This window comes from Homo sapiens, chromosome X (assembly GCF_000001405.40).
Source record: "Homo sapiens chromosome X, GRCh38.p14 Primary Assembly".
Lineage (NCBI taxonomy): Eukaryota > Metazoa > Chordata > Mammalia > Primates > Hominidae > Homo > Homo sapiens.
The window spans coordinates 97,233,172-97,250,101 of NC_000023.11; the positions used below are offsets into that span (position 1 = coordinate 97,233,172).

Here is a 16,930-nt window from a genome sequence, read left to right on the forward strand (position 1 = left end):
AACTTTCAGGGCCTAAAAGAACTTCAGATACCAGGTTCACCTTGTACTTCCCATACTTGGAAATACTGCTGAACTAAATCTTGCCTTATTCTCAGCAGGCAGTAGAGCATGTTGGTTAAGAACACACATGAGACTTCATAACTTCAAATATTGTCTCTGCCACTTACTAGTTACATGACTTTGAAGAAATTATTTAATCTCTCTTTGTCTCAGGTTTTTCATATGTAAAACTGGCATAATAACAAGATACGTTTTATAGGATGAAATGAGTATGTGCATGTGTGTGTGTTTGTGTGTCTGTTTATACAACACTGGGATTTGTAACTTGGCAACTTCCTGGAATGTACTGGAGTATCATTTTAAAGCCCATGGTAATGACAAAGAGATCAGTTATTTAGGATGCGTTTTGGTCAATTCTAAAAGGAAGCTATAAGATGGGATAATGGAGAATTTCATTTGGACTCCTCCGTGTTATTTTCAGAAGTGATAATTTGGCCATTGAGATTGAATTTCATGTTGCTTTATAGTGGCTGATTTTTCCTTTTATACTGACTGGGATACAGGACCTGGCTTTGAGTTTCTGCATGTGTCTGTTGCTTTTATATTTTATTTATTTAATTTGGGGATTTACAAAATAAATTTTGCCAGCCTGCTTTGATCATAGCTGTCTGTGGCATTGTGCTAACTCAATTAAAAAGTTTTTTTTTCTGTCCTGTTAAATTAACATTCTATTGATACATTCAACAGAATAAACTTATATAATCAATTCCACATTATAGAATTCACAATATACATTTTACCCTCAGAAGGATGCAAAGAATTGTTGTAAGGAGACTCAGTTGCATTATGGTTATAGAGGCATCAAGAAATCCAGAGGCACAGTGGCTCACGCCTGTAATCCCAGCACTTAGGGAGGCTGAGGCCGGTAGATCACATGAGATCGGGAGTTCGAGACCAGCCTGACCAACATGGAGAAACCCCGTCTCTACTAAAAATACAAAAAAAAAAAATTAGCCAGACATGGTGGTGCATGCCTGTAATCCCAGCTACTCGGGAGGCTGAGGCAGGAGAATCGTTTGAACCTGGGAGGCGGAGGTTGTGTTGAGCCGAGATCTCGCCATTGCACTCCAGCCTAGGCAACAAGAGCGAAACTCCATCTCAAAAAAAAAAAAAAAAAGAAAAAAAGAAATCCAGAGGCCTGGTGGTGTATACCTAGGCAATCCACTTTTGTTTTCTCTCTGTTTCCATATCCTCATGAGAGATCTGGACTAGGAAATTGCTGATATCCCTCCCCAAGGGGGCATTTTTGTTAATCTAGAACATGGATCAACAAACTTTTTCTGCAGAGAGCAAGATATTAAATATTTTAGGGCTTACGGACCACACACAGTCCCTGTCACAAGGACTCAGGACTGCCTTTATAGTCCAAAAGCAGCCATAGGCAATATGTAAACGATGGACCTGGCTGTTTTTCAATAAAACTTTATTTATGGACACTGAAATTTAAATTTCATATACTTTTCATGTGTCACAAAATGCTATCCTTCTTTTGATTTTTTTTTCAGCCACTTAAAAATGTAAAAAGCATTCTTAGTTCACAGGCCATACGAAAACAGGCAGCCAGCTAGATATGGCCTGCAGACAGTAGTTCACCAATCCCTTATCTAGTCTAGCCAAGCAATGTATACATATGTCTATTTGAGGAACTTCTATATTGAAGACATTATCTCATAGTACTTGTATTAGTGAACATTTTCACTTTCCTTTCCCTTGTTTCATAAATGATCACTAGGCATTTGAATATTTCAGAGCCTTTAGCCAGATTGCATGTGTATTTGTGCTTGTATATATTTTTGCCAGAACACTTGAAAGTCTCTGGGCCTTTTATTCATCTTTGCTTTGCCAAATATTTTCCCACCTGTATAGATGAATTAAAATTTTCAACAGCCTTTCTTTGAACATGACTTTTGAGACCAGTTGCTATTTAAATTACACAAAAGTATATTTAGCCCTTCTTTGTGTTTTATTCCCTTTTTGCCAGGGTGGAAGGACTTTTCAGGAACATATTTGAATAGATGGAGAATTCTGAAAAACATAACCCAGATATTTATTTGGGTCTCAGAGAAGAAGACGTTTTGAAAACAACCTTTGTGGCTGGGCACAGTGGCTCATGCCTGTAATCCCAACACTTTGGGAGGCCACGGTGGGTGGATCATGAGGTCAGGAGATGGAGACCATCCTGGCCAACATGGTGAAACCCCATCTCTACTCAAAATACAAAAATTAGCCAGGCGTGGTGGCACATGCCTGTAATCCCAGCTACTCAGGAGGCTGAGGCAGGAGAATGGCTTGAACCTGGGAGGCAGAGGTTGTGGTGAGCCAAGATCGCACCAATGCACTCCAGCCTGTGGGATAGGGCGAGACTACGTCAAAAAAAAAAAAAAAAAAAAAAGAAAGAAATTTTATCAATTTATCCTGCTTGAAGTCTTTCAGCGCTTTCTCACTACACTTAAGGTGAAACCCAAATTCCTTACGGTGTCCTACAAGACCCTACCTACCTCTCAAACTTCATCTCAAATTTTTTTTTAAAATCCATTATTTTGTTAGTAGACAAAACTACATAAAGTATAATAAATTTATGACATGATAATGCCCAGATAACTAATCAAGACTTGCTTTATTTAGGGACTGCTTTCAGTAGTGAGGAACTTAAAAACATAGTACAATTATATTATCTAATTGCTTTAGTTTGTATTGCCAATTTCTTATTTCAGGGCATATAGTAATCCTATTAATATCCACAGTTAATGAATAAGGAAAATACAACCATAGGCTTACTATATCCTTTGAAGCATCTTTTGTCTGACCTATAACCCTATTACCCAGGAGAAATATTGCTAATCCAGGCAACACTAATGTGGAATGGACTCTAATGGCTTCAGGACTATGACCTCAGCACTGATCTCAACAACCTGCATTCAGTTTGGGTGAAAATTCGTGGCTTTGTATATGTTACATACCTGTGGACTTCATGCATTAAACTTGTTCCTCAAAAACTCTGTGAAGTGCAAGAATCTGCATATAGTCCTATTAATTTCCCTGAAGAGTTCAGGAATAAAGTTAATGAAAAATTTACCCATGATCACAAAAATTACACTCAACAAGGCTAACATTATTTTAATACAGCATTATAGCTTTATGGAAACACTATTTATGTGTACTTAATTCTTGCCAAATAGTAATGTGGAAGACAGTATCTATTCAAATGGTTCATCAATCTGTATGATCTTTTCACAACTTATTGAAGATACCATTTACCAGAAGTAAGGGTATATATTAGTAAAGTTTTCTTTTTCCTTTTTTTTTCATTTTCATTTTTTTTTTTTTTTTTGAGATGGAGTCTCGCTCTATCGCCCAGGCTGGAGTGCAGTGGCACAATCTCGGCTCCCTGCAAGCTCCACCTCCCGGGTTCACGCCATTCTCCTGCCTCAGCCTCCCGAGTAGCTGGGACTACAGGTGCCCGCAACCACGCCCGGCTAATTTTTTGTATTTTTAGTAGAGATGGGGTTTCACCATGTTAGCCAGGATGGTCTCGATCTCCTGACCTCGTGATCCACCCGCCTCGGCCTCCCAAAGTGCTGGGATTACAGGCGTGAACCACCGCGCCCGGCGTGTAAAGTTTTCATTAAGTGATTGCTCAGATAAAAGCATTTGTGAATGCTTATTCAAGAAGCAGGTAGTCGTCTTGTTGTGAAACAGTGTTCATTTATCGCATCTAGTTTGTCAAAACATTGTTTGACAGTATTGAATATAAATTGTTTTCTACCTGTTTGTTCTTCGTGACCTTTTTGCAGTACTATTTACTCAATTATTGTAGTTCACAACTAAACACACCTATAAACATATACTCAAAATTCCAAATTTTACAGACTAGTAATTTCAGATTTCTTAAACTAGGATTTTCTTCTTTCTAGTTTTAGTCAACACGTCTACATTCTTCATAGCCCTTGCTTTTCCATGATTTTACTAATTTATTTTAAGCCTTTCTATTGTTATATTAAGTAGCCTCCTTTGACAACCTACACTTTTATCATTAGTGTTCTAGTTCCAAGGTTAAAGAAGAATGCATTACATAGATTGGACAAGTGAAGACATTAGTATGGGATTGTCATAAAGGATTTATCAGCATTTGAAGCTCCTGACAAGCTTTTTTTTTTTTAATTTAGAAGAATGCCATTCCAGCCATTTAAATAAAATCTCCAGGAGAAGACTATTCAGGTTAGACCAATATCAAGTCGAAAAGACTTGACCTATTAAAATTATTCCAGTTTGAGTTGTAGGTGGGTGGGGCATCTTTTATTACAAAACAACCAAATGAGTTTTTAAAAAGATTTTTCTTTTTCTTTTTTCTATTTTTTTTTTTGAGACAAGAGTCTCTCTCGCTCTGTCGCCCAGGCTGGACTGCAGTGGCGCCATCTTGGCTCACTGCAAGCTCCACCTCCCGGGTTCGCGCCATTCTCTTGCCTCAGCCTCCCCAGTAGCTGGTACCACAGGCGCCTGCCACCGCGCCTGGCTAATTTTTTGTATTTTTAGTAGAGACGGAGTTTCACCTTGTTAGCCAGGATGGTCTCCATCTCCTGACCTCGTGATCCACCCGCCTCGGCCTCCCAAAGTGCTGGGATTACAGGCGTGAGCCACCGCGCCCGGCCCGCAAAAAAAGATTTTTCTTGACGAGAACAAACCATTCCACCAAGACTTTATCCAGCATTGCTTTATTACTTCCTAGTCCTGGCCTTGAGCTAAGACTGTCAAGAAAGGTAGGAGATTTCAGTTTGTTTTTTAGCCTTTGATTTAAAAAATCACGCATAGTATTTGCTGCAGGCAGAATAACACTTGCAGAAGAGACAGCAGGGGAAGGGACTGGGATTCTTCAAGGGGCAGCTTGACTGTCTGTCCACTACTGTTGGTTTGGTGCTCAGGCTTCAGAATTTTCTTATTGCAAATTATTACTTAGACAGTTTCAAACTTTCCCTTCCTCCTTGTTTTCTTTTTGTTAGAAGTCTCTCTTTATTTTTTCAAACATGCAGTCAGACTGAGGTTTTCAGGCTGAGAACTTGTGCAAATGTATGAACTCAGACATTGAAGTGTACTTAGCGAAGTTTTAAGAGTTAAATCATAGAATGCAGCTTTCATGTTTTCTTACTGGATTTCCTCTGCTATCAGCATCAGTTCAGACCACATTATGAATCCAGTTGAGAAAAACTGCACTTTCTTCCCAAGGGCACATGTTAGAGGAGTAAATGATGGTACTTAAGAACACATATTTAGAATGCACATTTTTAAGTTTTATGGAATAAGAATTCTAGTTGTGTTTTCTGTGAAGGTGACTTTTTAACAGGTTTTTTTTTTTTTTCCCCCTAAGAATGAGTCATTTTCTCACATTTTTCTTCATTATAGGGATTTTTTATTTGGGTACCATTTACCGTTTATTTTCTTTAAAGGCCAAAGAAGCTCACAGTGATGAGCTTTTGCTATTGTTACTGTATAAACACATTTGCTTCATTTCCAGGTACAGCGTTCATGTAAAATGAAACTACCTTATAAATGCACTTGAGAAAGAATGCAACAGTGTCTATTGTTCAGGATGCTTGTAATGTTCCTTTTCTTTTTTACATATGCTTTCCGGATGAGTCACTTTAATGGTATGCCGTTCCGCTGATAGTAATTCTTCAACTAAATATATTCAGTTAAGGAAAATTACAGGGTACTTATATAATCATGTTTGGGCCTATTCACATATAGACTTGCAAGAGTAAATTCTTACTTGGTCTTTCTTAGAGCAAAGATGTAAGAAGTGCTCCGTTAATTTGTCAATGGTTACAATGAATAGAAACATTTAATTCAGAAAAAAATCCACAAATTCCTGGAAATGCTTTTATATTTACATAGAATTACACATTCTTAATATGGTCTAGACAGTGTCACTGGAATACTGTGATTTTTTTTCTTGCATGCATATCTGTTCTCTTATATACTGTGTAATTGAAGAGTCCTTCCGTTCAAACTCTTGCTTAAAATATGTATCTTATACTTTACCTTAGGATTATGTATTAGAGAAAGTCTGTCATTTAAAATGTTTTGAATGAGGATCAGGCCACTATCATATATTTGCTTGAAGCCAGGGAAAAAGTATATGTATATTTTTCAACTGAAGCAAGTAGATAAATAAGATATGTGAGGAAAGTTTCTCCTACATATAACTCAAGAGAGTACACTAAGCTTAAAAGGTTATTTATGGAGTACAAGGAAGAAAGCTATAATAAAGAACCCGATAGCTATAATTTAATTTTTTAGTGTTATAATTCAGATTCAGTAATTCAGTAGCAGATTTAAAAAATGAAATGAGAGAAAAAAAATTAAAGTGCTACCAGACTGACTAATCAGTCATTGAAAATGCCTGTAGTGGGAATTTACTCAGATAGAAAATGTTTGCACTGTCATTAAAGACCCCCTAGTTTATATTAGTGAACTAATATAATGACAGGCACAAAAATATACCCTGAGGCTGAGGCTGTGCAAAGGCAAGCATTTCTAACCCACTCTGGTACTTAAATATTCTTGGCACTACAGGTACCATCATCACCCTGCAACCTCTAGTAAAAATCTCTCTCTCTCTCTCTCTCTCTCTTTCTCTCTCTCTCTTTCTCACACACACACACGCACACGCACATGCACCCCCTACCTGAGAAATATTAGAAGTAGTGTAGGCAAAGACCTAGTTAAATATTTAAATAATCATAATATTAATTGATTGCCAACTCTTAAGATTGAGGCAAATGTGTTCAAGGCAATTAATGAGGCAGGTAAACACATATTAATTCTTTTCTAATACTTTTTTTTTGTCTGTTACCTTTTAGACAAGTCTAGAAAGCCAAAGTGATGAACTTTTAAATGCCAAGGAAATACAGACTATTGCATGGGTTTTAATTTCCAGAAATATTATTTAAATTTGGAACTTGCTAATAAGTCTGATAAATTGGCTGTTAGTTAGTGTAATTGTCACTAGTTCCCAAACCTAAAATTCCATGTACCCTGTAAAATCTAAACACAGAAAACACAATCTAAATTTAGTTCTCTTTATTAAAAAAAGACCAGCTGGGCGCTGTGGCTCGCGCCTGTAATCCCAGCACTTTGGGAGGCCGAGGAGGGTGGATCACGAGGTCAGGAGATCGAGACCATCCTGGCTAACACAGTGAAACCCCGTCTCTACTAAAAATACAAAAAGTTAGCCGGGCGTGGTGGCGGGCGCCTGTAGTCCCAGCTACTCAGGAGGCTGAGGCAGGAGAATGGCGTGAACCTGGGAAGCAGAGCTTGTAGTGAGCCGAGATTGTACCACTGCATTCCAGCCTGGGCAACAGAGCAAGACTGCATCTCAAAAAAAAAAAAAAAGACCAATATTACGTTAAATTAGGCCATAGTAGGGATAGCAGGTTGGAAATGTCTGCATTTTTTTCCCGTAGATTACATCTAAATAGTTGTTTAATTCGTGGTAGCATGTATACAGTGGGAATGTGTATGTTGGAAGGTAGGGTGTAGGAAAGAGGATAGTGAAATATAAAATGAATATTTATGTACTAGGTATAATAATAAGTACTTTATCAAATCATTTAACCTAAATGACTACCCTTTAAGGAAGATATTATCATCATCATTTTGCAAATCAGGAAATGAAGGCCTAGAGAAGCTAAGTCATTGGCTTAAGATAACCTAACTAGTAATATGTATGGCTGAGATTAGAACCTAGGTCTGTCTGATTCCTAAAACCATTCCTACCCCATCCAATTCTGCCACAGCAGCATATATAAGTAACATGACCTTGTGCCAATGAATGATAAAGAGTACAGGTTTTATTTCATGATGCTGGCCTTCCAGGCTCCAGAAATACTGCTTTACATTTACAATTTCCTGAGATGACATCACTTATACCCCTCCTTAAGAGTAGTGCATACCTTATAGAATTTTTGTATTAGATAAGTTAATACATAAAACTACTTAGAATAATGTCTAGCACATAGTAAGTACTCAGTAAATGTTGGTTATTACTTAAGAACTTAAGTAATGACTAATTCTTTTTTTTTTTTTCCCGAGACGGAGTCTCGCTCTGTCGCCATGCTGGAGTGCAGTGGTGCGATCTTAGCTCACTGCCACCTCCGCCTCTTGGGTTCAAGCAATTCTCCTGCCTCAGCCTCCCGAGTAGCTGGGACTACAGGTGCCTGCCACCGCGCCCTGCTAATTTTTTTGTATTTTTAGTAGAGATGGGGTTTCACCATGTTGGCCAGGATGGTCTCGATCTCCTGACCTCGTGATCCGACCGCCTCAGCCTCCCAAAGTGCTGGGATTACAGGCATGAGCCACCACGCCTGGCCAGTAATGGCTAATTCTTACACCACAGAAGGACTAGTTGAAGGAACTGGGTATGTATAGGCTGGGTAGATTAAGAAGATTCAACTGATACATTTCTTGTAAAATAGGTAGTAGACTTGATCAGTGCTACTATGAGGCAAAATTAGGAGTAATAGATAAGAGTTTAAGTAGGCTGATTTTTTTTTTTTTTTTTTTTTTTGAGACGGAGTCTCACTCTTTTGCCAGGCTAGAGTGCAGTGGCGCGATCTAGGCTCACTGCAACCTTTGCCTCCCGGATTCCAGCGATTCTCCTGCCTCAGCCTCCTGAGTAGCTGGGATTACAGGCGCCCACCACCACGCCTGGCTAATTTTTGTATTTTTAGTAGAGACGGGGTTTCACCAAGTTGGCCAGGATGGTCTCGATCTCTTGACCTTGTGATCCGCCCGCCTCGGCCTCCCAAAGTGCTGAGATAACAGGCGTGAGCCGCCACACCTGGCTAAGTAGGCTGATTTTTCTTATGAGTAAATAAAAAAATTCTAGTGATATCAACTGTCAACAATTGAATAAGGCACTTAGGATGTAGGGAGTACTCTGTTTTAGATCTAATATATGCAACACCCCAGATTTACTGGGCACTCCTTTGCCATCTCCCACCTCCAAACCCAGGCTACTCATTTCCCAGCCATAGTGGGAAGTTAACATTGCTAGAAACAATTTCACCAATGAAGGAACAGGAGATGCTAAGGAGTAAGCAGGTAAATGAATTGCTCATTGTCTCCTCTAAGCAGCTCTTTTTTTTTTTTCTTGAGACAGAGTTTCACTCTGTCGCCCAGGCTGGAGTGCAGTGGCACGATCTCGGCTCACTGCAACCTCTGTCTCCCAAGTTCAAGTGATTTTCCTGTCTCAGTCTCCCGAGTATCTGGGATTACAGGCGGGCACCACCATGCCCAGCTAATTTTTTTGTATTTTTAGTGGAGACGGGGTTTCACCATGTTGGCCATGCTGGTCTCAAACTCCTGACCTCAAACGATCCACCCGCCTCAGCCTCCCAAAGTGCTGGGATTACAGGCATGAGCCATGGCACCTGGCCTCTAACCTACTTTTCTAAGTTACATTTGTTTTATCTGGAGACCAGGACTGACTAGATAATTTTTGGGTCCGGGTGCAGAATGAAATGTGGCACCCCACTGCAAATTTTTATTTTATTTTATTTATTTATTTATTTTTTTGAGGTGGAGTCTTGTTCTGTTGCCCAGGCTGGAGTGCAGTGGTGGGATCTCAGCTCACTACAAGCTCCGCCTCCCAGGTTCATGCCATTCTCCTGCCTCAGCCTCCCGAGTAGCTGGGACTACAGGCGCCCGCCCCCACGCCTGGCTAATTTTTTGTATTTTTAGTAGAGATGGGGTTTCACTGTGTTAGCCAGGATGGTCTCGATCTCCTGACCTCGTGATCTGCCCACCTCAGCCTCCCAAAGTGCTGGGATTACAGGCTTGAGCCACCGCACCTGGCCAAAAAGTTATTAAGAATTTCAAAATGACAACAAAGTATTAAACAAAATGCAGGGCCCTTTGCAGCATGGGATCTTGTACAACTGCACAGGTTGCATATCCATGAAGTCAGCCCTGACGGAGACAACCTGAGACACTAAACAACCAGCATTTTTTTTTTTTTTTTTGTAAAGCTATGACAAGTTCTGGAACTTACCCTCTTGTATTTGCTGTCTTTCCCTCATGCCTGCTTCTCTGGGATTATATCCCGCTCACCCCAACAAGGCCTTAAGAAGTAAGCTCTAACTTAGGCTATGTTTTGCAGGGACTCAGACTGTGATACTCTGTAACCTGAGTTTTTCAAATTTAAGAGGCTGGTCCAAATCTCCTTTAATGTCACTTTTACCTCAAAGGTAACATAATTCCCCCATGCAAAGATAAACACTTTACATAATGGCATTGTTTAATGCAGCCATAAATTTCTGTATAAGCTAGAATTCTCAGATTATTACATCTCCAATATTTTATTCTCTTTTGTTCAGGCATAATATAAATAATCCATTAGAGGGGAAGAATGGAGGAGCCTAAGAAAGAAAGGTGCCCTTTACTTTTTTTTACTTTATCCGCTTTCCTCACATTCCCATTTGTCTAAGCATCTCCCGAACCACGTCTATATATTGTTAGGCAGATTTCAAGTCCCTGCTCTCTTTCTCTACTTATATAATAATTGGTATGGTAACTTCAAATCATTATGATTATATCTAACCTCTCCCTGTACTTTCAGTTGTGGAAGTAGACATAAATTTAAATGTGAACCAAAACTTCTTGAAATGTACATATTCATCAATAAATATTTATTGAGTGATAAATACTGAGCACAGTGATAAGTACTGAGGGAAAAGCAAAAAATCAAATATAGATCTTACCATTAGGCAGCTTGGAGTTTTATAAAGGAAACTGTTGTTTATGTATATGAGATAAAAGACAATTATTATTCAAAGCAGAAGGTGATAGGTCGAAGATCACTTAAACAAACAAAAAGTACATATGAAATGGTAGAGAATTTGGAGTAGAGCTCTGGAGAGATTTATAGAGGACTAAAGATTATACATGTGAAATTCGGGAGGACAGATGTTCAGAAAAATATTGATTTATTCAGAATGCAACTTTAGAGTAAAAGTAATTTCCCTGGGTTAAAAATATTCTCACTTATTACTTGACATATGTAGACTGCTGTGTGCATAGCAATTTGATTAGGCTAGTTTTGTATTGAATGATTGGAAGATGAAGTCATTATCATCATCATCCCCTTTTTACTAGTGCCATTACTATTGTGACCTAAACCTGGCCTTTTAGCACATTTTATTTATTACAGAAAGTTAGGGAGGAAAAATAACTTTTCCTTTTCCCCATTTTAGGTTCATTGGCCACGGTCTCTATACCAAAAGGCAGATTAGCAAAAGAAAATAATGCAGATTTATTTAGGTTTTACATAACTTGAGAGGGGAGCATTCATAAGGAAATGAAGATCCAAAGAAACAGTTAAACCTGAGGTTTTCTATAGTATGTTTGATGAAAAATGGAGAGGTGTGGAAAAATATGATAGGGAGAAGGAAAAGTATGTGCTAAGTATAATAAACTGGGAGAAATTTAACAAGACCTATTTGTTCAGATTTCTATGTCCCTTTATTTTCAGAGATAAGGATGTTGGTTTCCTCAGGGTGCATATAGCAAAGTTAGCTCTCAGGCCGGACATGGTGGCTCATGCCTGTAATCCCAACACTTTGGGAGGCCGAGGCGGGTGGATCACAAGGTCAGGAGATCGAGACCATCCTGACCAACATGGTGAAACCCCGTCTCTACTAAAAATATAAAAATTAGCTGGGCGTGGTGGCACATGCCTGTAGTCCCAGCTACTTGGGATGCTGAGGCAGGAGAATCACTTGAACCAGGGAATCGGAGGTTGCAGTGAGCCGAGATATCATGCCACTACACTCCAGCCTGGCGACAGAGTGAGACTCCGTCTAAAAAAAAAAAAAAGCCACATGAGTTTTTGTTTGTTTGTTTGCTTTTGTTTTTTGTTTTTTTCTTTAAGAGAAAGGATCAATCTGTGTTGCCCTGTCTGGAGAAGAGTGGCATGATCATGACTCACTGTGGCCTCGAGCTCCCAGGCTCAAGCGATCCTCCTAACTCAGCCTCTTGAGTAGCTGGGACTAGGCACATAACCACCGCACCCAGCTTGCTTATTTATTTATTTATTTATTTATTTAAGGCAGGGTCTCACTCTGTCACCTAGGCAGGAATACAGTGATGCCATCATAACTCATTGCAGCCTCAACTTTCTGTGCTCAAGCAATCCTCCCATCTCATTTTCTTTTTTTTAAATTTTTTGTAGAGACGAGGTCTAGCTATGTTGCTTAGGCTGCTCTCGAACTCCTGGGCCCACGTGATCCTCCTGCCTCAGCCTCCTAAAGAGCTGGGATTACAGGTGTGAGCCACCACACCCAGCAGAGCTTATTTTTGTATTTTTTGTAGAGATGGGGTTTTGCCATATTGTCCAGGCTGGCCTTGAGCTCCTGAGTCCAAGCAATCCATCCACTTTGGCCTCCACAAGTGCTCGGATTACAGGCATGAGCCCCCATGTGGGGCCTACATGAGGGTCTTAAGACCTGTGCCCAGGAAAGATCAGATAGTCCTTCCTGCAGGTGTCATTTCTAAAAGTTCTTCAGCTTAAAATACTCAATATGCCAAGGCACCATATTTTTGGGTAATGTGCCCTGAACTTCACCATGTCCGTGTAACCTAAATAACATAAGTGACTGGTCAATGTTTTGTCTTCACTTTTTTTTTTTTTTTTGAGACGGAATTTCATTCTTGTTGCCCAGGCTAGAGTGCAGTGGCGGGATCTTGGCTCACTGCAACCTCCACCTCCTGGGTTTGAGTGATTCTCCTGCCTTAGCCTCCCGAGTAGCTGGGATTACAGGCACCCACCACCAGGCCTGGCTAATTTTTGTATTTTTTTTTTTTTTTTGGTAGAGACAGGGTTTCACCATGTTGGCCAGGCTGGCCTCAAACTCATAACCTCAGGTAATCCGCCCACCTCAGCCTCCCAAAGTGCTGGGATTACAGGTGTGAGCCACCGCGCTCGGCCTGTCTTCACTTTTTCAATCAACCAAGTGGGGAAGGAGAAACCTTTTGAATAATTGGAATACAGCAGAGAAACCTAAGTGAAAAAATTCAATTTTAAAATCAGAGAGAATTATTTCTTCCATAGCAAACTCATCCTTTAAATAAAGCAAGCAATGATTGGTGAACCATTAGCAAATTTTTGGCAAAACTTTCTTCTGCAATAAAGAATAATTTCCAAGCTTGTCAGATCTAAACAAATGGAACTAAATTGGACAGAGCTATTTAAACTGACAGATTAATAGAAAAAAAATAGTCTTTAGTGTTAGTGTTTGATTTTTAGTCTCTTGAACTTCCATGTATATTTAAGGTGATTTCTCCTCATTGAGTTATAAAGATGTGCCCATCAACATGATGAATTTGTATCTGAACAGTTTGGCTGAAATTTGCCAAGGGGTTGATTTTGGCAGTCTCTTAAATTTTTCATTGTAATGCTGATATGTCTCTGCATAAGACTAACTTTGCTTAAAAATAAGAAAGAATCATAGTATTTTTCTATTTGTGTTTCATGGTCCTTTAATGAAAATAACAGTATTTCAGAGGCCTGGATTTAAAAACCAATGTCACAGGCTGTCCATCAAATTATAACACTTACCTCATCTTTGCAACTAGAATCTTGCCAAATGCTGTTGATATTGATAGAAGTGTTTTCATACATAATTGGCAGTTATGCAGCAATAGAGTATCTATAAAATAGTTGAAAGTTAAAAAAAAATTACCTGGTAAAAAGAAGGTCTCCTGACAGATCTGAAAAATGTGCATGTATTTAGGAGCAGTTTGAATACAATACATAAAATTATTAGTTGTCAATGAGAGCAAAAGGAAGGTGCAGAGAATGTTAGGGGTAATTACAGCAACTAATGATAGTGTTTGAGGGCAGGCTGAATCTTTGTGGGTATGTACGTTCATTTGTGTTTGCTGGGGTTTGCTCTAAATTATCTTTCTGTATCAACAGTTATTTTTCACATCTCTTTGAAAAATACTAGAGATGGGAACTTTTACCATAGATATTGGTTTATAAAAATCAGGATATTCCAACAAAAGAAAAATATTTGATCCTTTTACATAATTTAACCTTAAATCATTTATAGAGCTACTAACGTGCATTAATAACATCTCTTTGAACCTTAGTTTTTCTTTAATCTTCAAATTAGATTTTAAAGAATGAAATGTTAGGAATTCCGTCAATAAATTTAAATTGAAATGGATTCATTTGAACTAATGGCTGAGTAAAATGGTGACATTCCCATATTAAACATGATAATTTGGTATACTGTATTACACATTTTCATTTATTTCATGGAGAGTAGAATTTTTATAAGCAGTAATTCAGAAAAATGTGAGTTGACTTCATGGAACTATTTCCCACATTTAAAAAAAAAGACTTTAACTGATAATGTCTCCTTTTAGATGTTTTGTGGAACACTTGGTAAAATATTCTAAATCCTTTGCACACTGTTCTTTAGTTTCAGCTCAAATTCTCAAGAGCAACCTTGCATCAATGGAACAACAAATTGTTCATCTGGAACGTGACATCAAGAAATTCCCCCAAGCAGAAAATCAACACGATAAGTTTGTGGAAAAGATGACCATATCCTTTATTTATTTAAGCATTTTGTCTAGTTTTTAGTCTCTATGTCTGTCTGTTTACTAACTGTGTGGTTAGTTCTAGATTTACTAGTCTTTTCACACCATCTGGATGAATTTGTGTATATGCTGTTTTTCTATTAGTAGCATAAATTTTGTTTCATGATGTTTTCAACCAGTAGGCAAGGGAACAATTAGATTTTTTTTGAAGGCTATTTCTCAAAGAAGAATTCCATTTGAAAGCCCACAGGATATGCAAGGTAAGTCTTAAGAGGTTTGATGAAACCTAAACAAAACAAAACAGAATGTTCTTATATAACCAAATGTTTAAAGTAAATTATCAACAGAAGGTTTTTTTTTGTCTGAGATTTTGTGTGTGTGTGCATACATTTTCTGAGGGCATGTGTGCATTTTCAAGGACAATAAGAGGATAACTAATATCACTAGACAGAAAGGACTGTGAAGGATAAATGGATACATGGTTGGATGGATAGACGAATTGATTAGTAGATTATATATTTAAATAAATTGTAGTAGATATCTGTATAACATTAAGCATTTCTTGCTAAATAAACATTTTTTGAAACTTCTAGTTTATAGCAGTATATTCATATAAATCATAAAAATATATAAAAGGAAAACTTGAGAAATAGCATTTAGCTTGAATTGTTTAATGTTAAATCTGGTGTCTAAAGATAAACTACATTAGACCTGATTTTTTTATAATTTTCTATTTTAGTTTTCAAAAGTTAAAGCCATATCCTCCTCCTCTGGGTTTAAATAAGTATCTTGAACTGCAGATTGATTCACCATTTTATATCTTTAGAGGGAATAAATACTGTAAATTCTTTATCTGATAATAAGTAAATTCCTTCAACAACTATTTGGCAGTCACCTTGTTTCAAGGTTAAATCTATTGCCTTTTTCTTCTGTGATATGCTTTATTTTTTGCCCAACTTGGAAGTTACAGTGCTGAACTCGAATTACTTAAGAATGGCAATTTAGATTTATGTTAAAAAAAATTTTAACTCTCAGTGTTTTGGTTCATTAATGAATACTGTGTTTTGTATGGTACTTTAGTGATTCTGAGTACCTTCATGAATACAAATATTGGCAAAATAAGTTTGTGATTGATTGGAGGCAGGGAATCCACAAAAATAACCTTGGGTTGCATTACTGGCCACGTTAGGATACCTAATGTGAAGGTTTCACTTTATTGCTGATTACATTTTTTTTTTTTTTCAAATATGTTATATTGTCCTGTGCCTGGAAACACCACCTCCTTTTTCACCTTTTGATTTTGGTTCTTGCCTCATATATTTGAATTTAATTCCTTATCCCCTTTTTCTTTTGAACATTTTCTTCTACTGTTGGCTTATAGCCACACAACAGCTTGCAACATTGAGTCTTTGTTGCTCATTTAGAAAAAGAAAAGTAATTTCAAACCCTCATGAACTTGGCCTGGACTCCTTATTTTATTTCTCTCTTTATGCAGGTAATTAAGCACTTTAAAATGAAAATCCAGAGCCTTCTGTATCTGTATGTTACAGATGAATGGTTATTCTTCATTTAAGTGGCACTAAAGTGTGACTATTTGTCCACAAGGGGATTGAAAACTGTATTAAAATGTATGGGGCTGTTACTTTGCATATCATATTTTTTAAAGAAACAAAATAAAATACACAGCAATTTATTTCAGAGAAAAAATTAGAATATTGAGTTGGGTTGGTTAAAAACTATGAATTAATGGATTATAAAGATAAAACTGTGGCTCAAGTTATTCTTCCTTTGAAAGACTTCTTGGTCACCCATTGAGAGTTTCTATCTTCTAGAAAGAGACGAACGAAATGCGTAATCATTATATGTATGTATATGAGTTCTGGTGCCTACCTAATATATATATTTTTTACCCTTCTGGCAATGCTAAAAGAGAAAGATATTTTATTGTGGGATACTTGATCCTGTTTTAAAAATAGAACCATGAGCCAGGGGTGGTGACTCACGCCTGTAATCCCAGCACTTTGGGAGGCTGAGGCGGGCGGATCACCTGAGGTCAGGAGTTCGAGACCAGCCTCAACATGGAGAAACCCCGTCTCTACTAAAAATACAAAATTAGCCAGGCATAGTGGTGCATGCCTGTAATCTCAGCTACTCGGGAGGCTGAGGCAGGAGAATTGCTTGAACCTGGGAGGCAGAGGTTGCGGTGAGCCGAGATCGCGCCATTGCACTCCAGCCTGGGCAACAAGAGCGAAACTCCGTCTCAAAA

The 16,930-nt window shown here is 38.1% G+C and overlaps 1 protein-coding gene across 2 annotated transcripts in view; it reads left to right on the forward strand.

Moving 5' to 3' along the window:
• The window catches only part of DIAPH2 (diaphanous related formin 2), a 920,156-nt gene that overhangs the window by 548,330 nt on the left and 354,896 nt on the right, over window positions 1-16,930 (forward strand). For both annotated transcript variants that reach the window (NM_006729.5, NM_007309.4), the window contains exon 23: window positions 14,544-14,668. In NM_006729.5, coding sequence (NP_006720.1) covers window positions 14,544-14,668 — 125 coding nt within the window. The remainder of the gene's footprint in view (window positions 1-14,543; window positions 14,669-16,930) is intronic.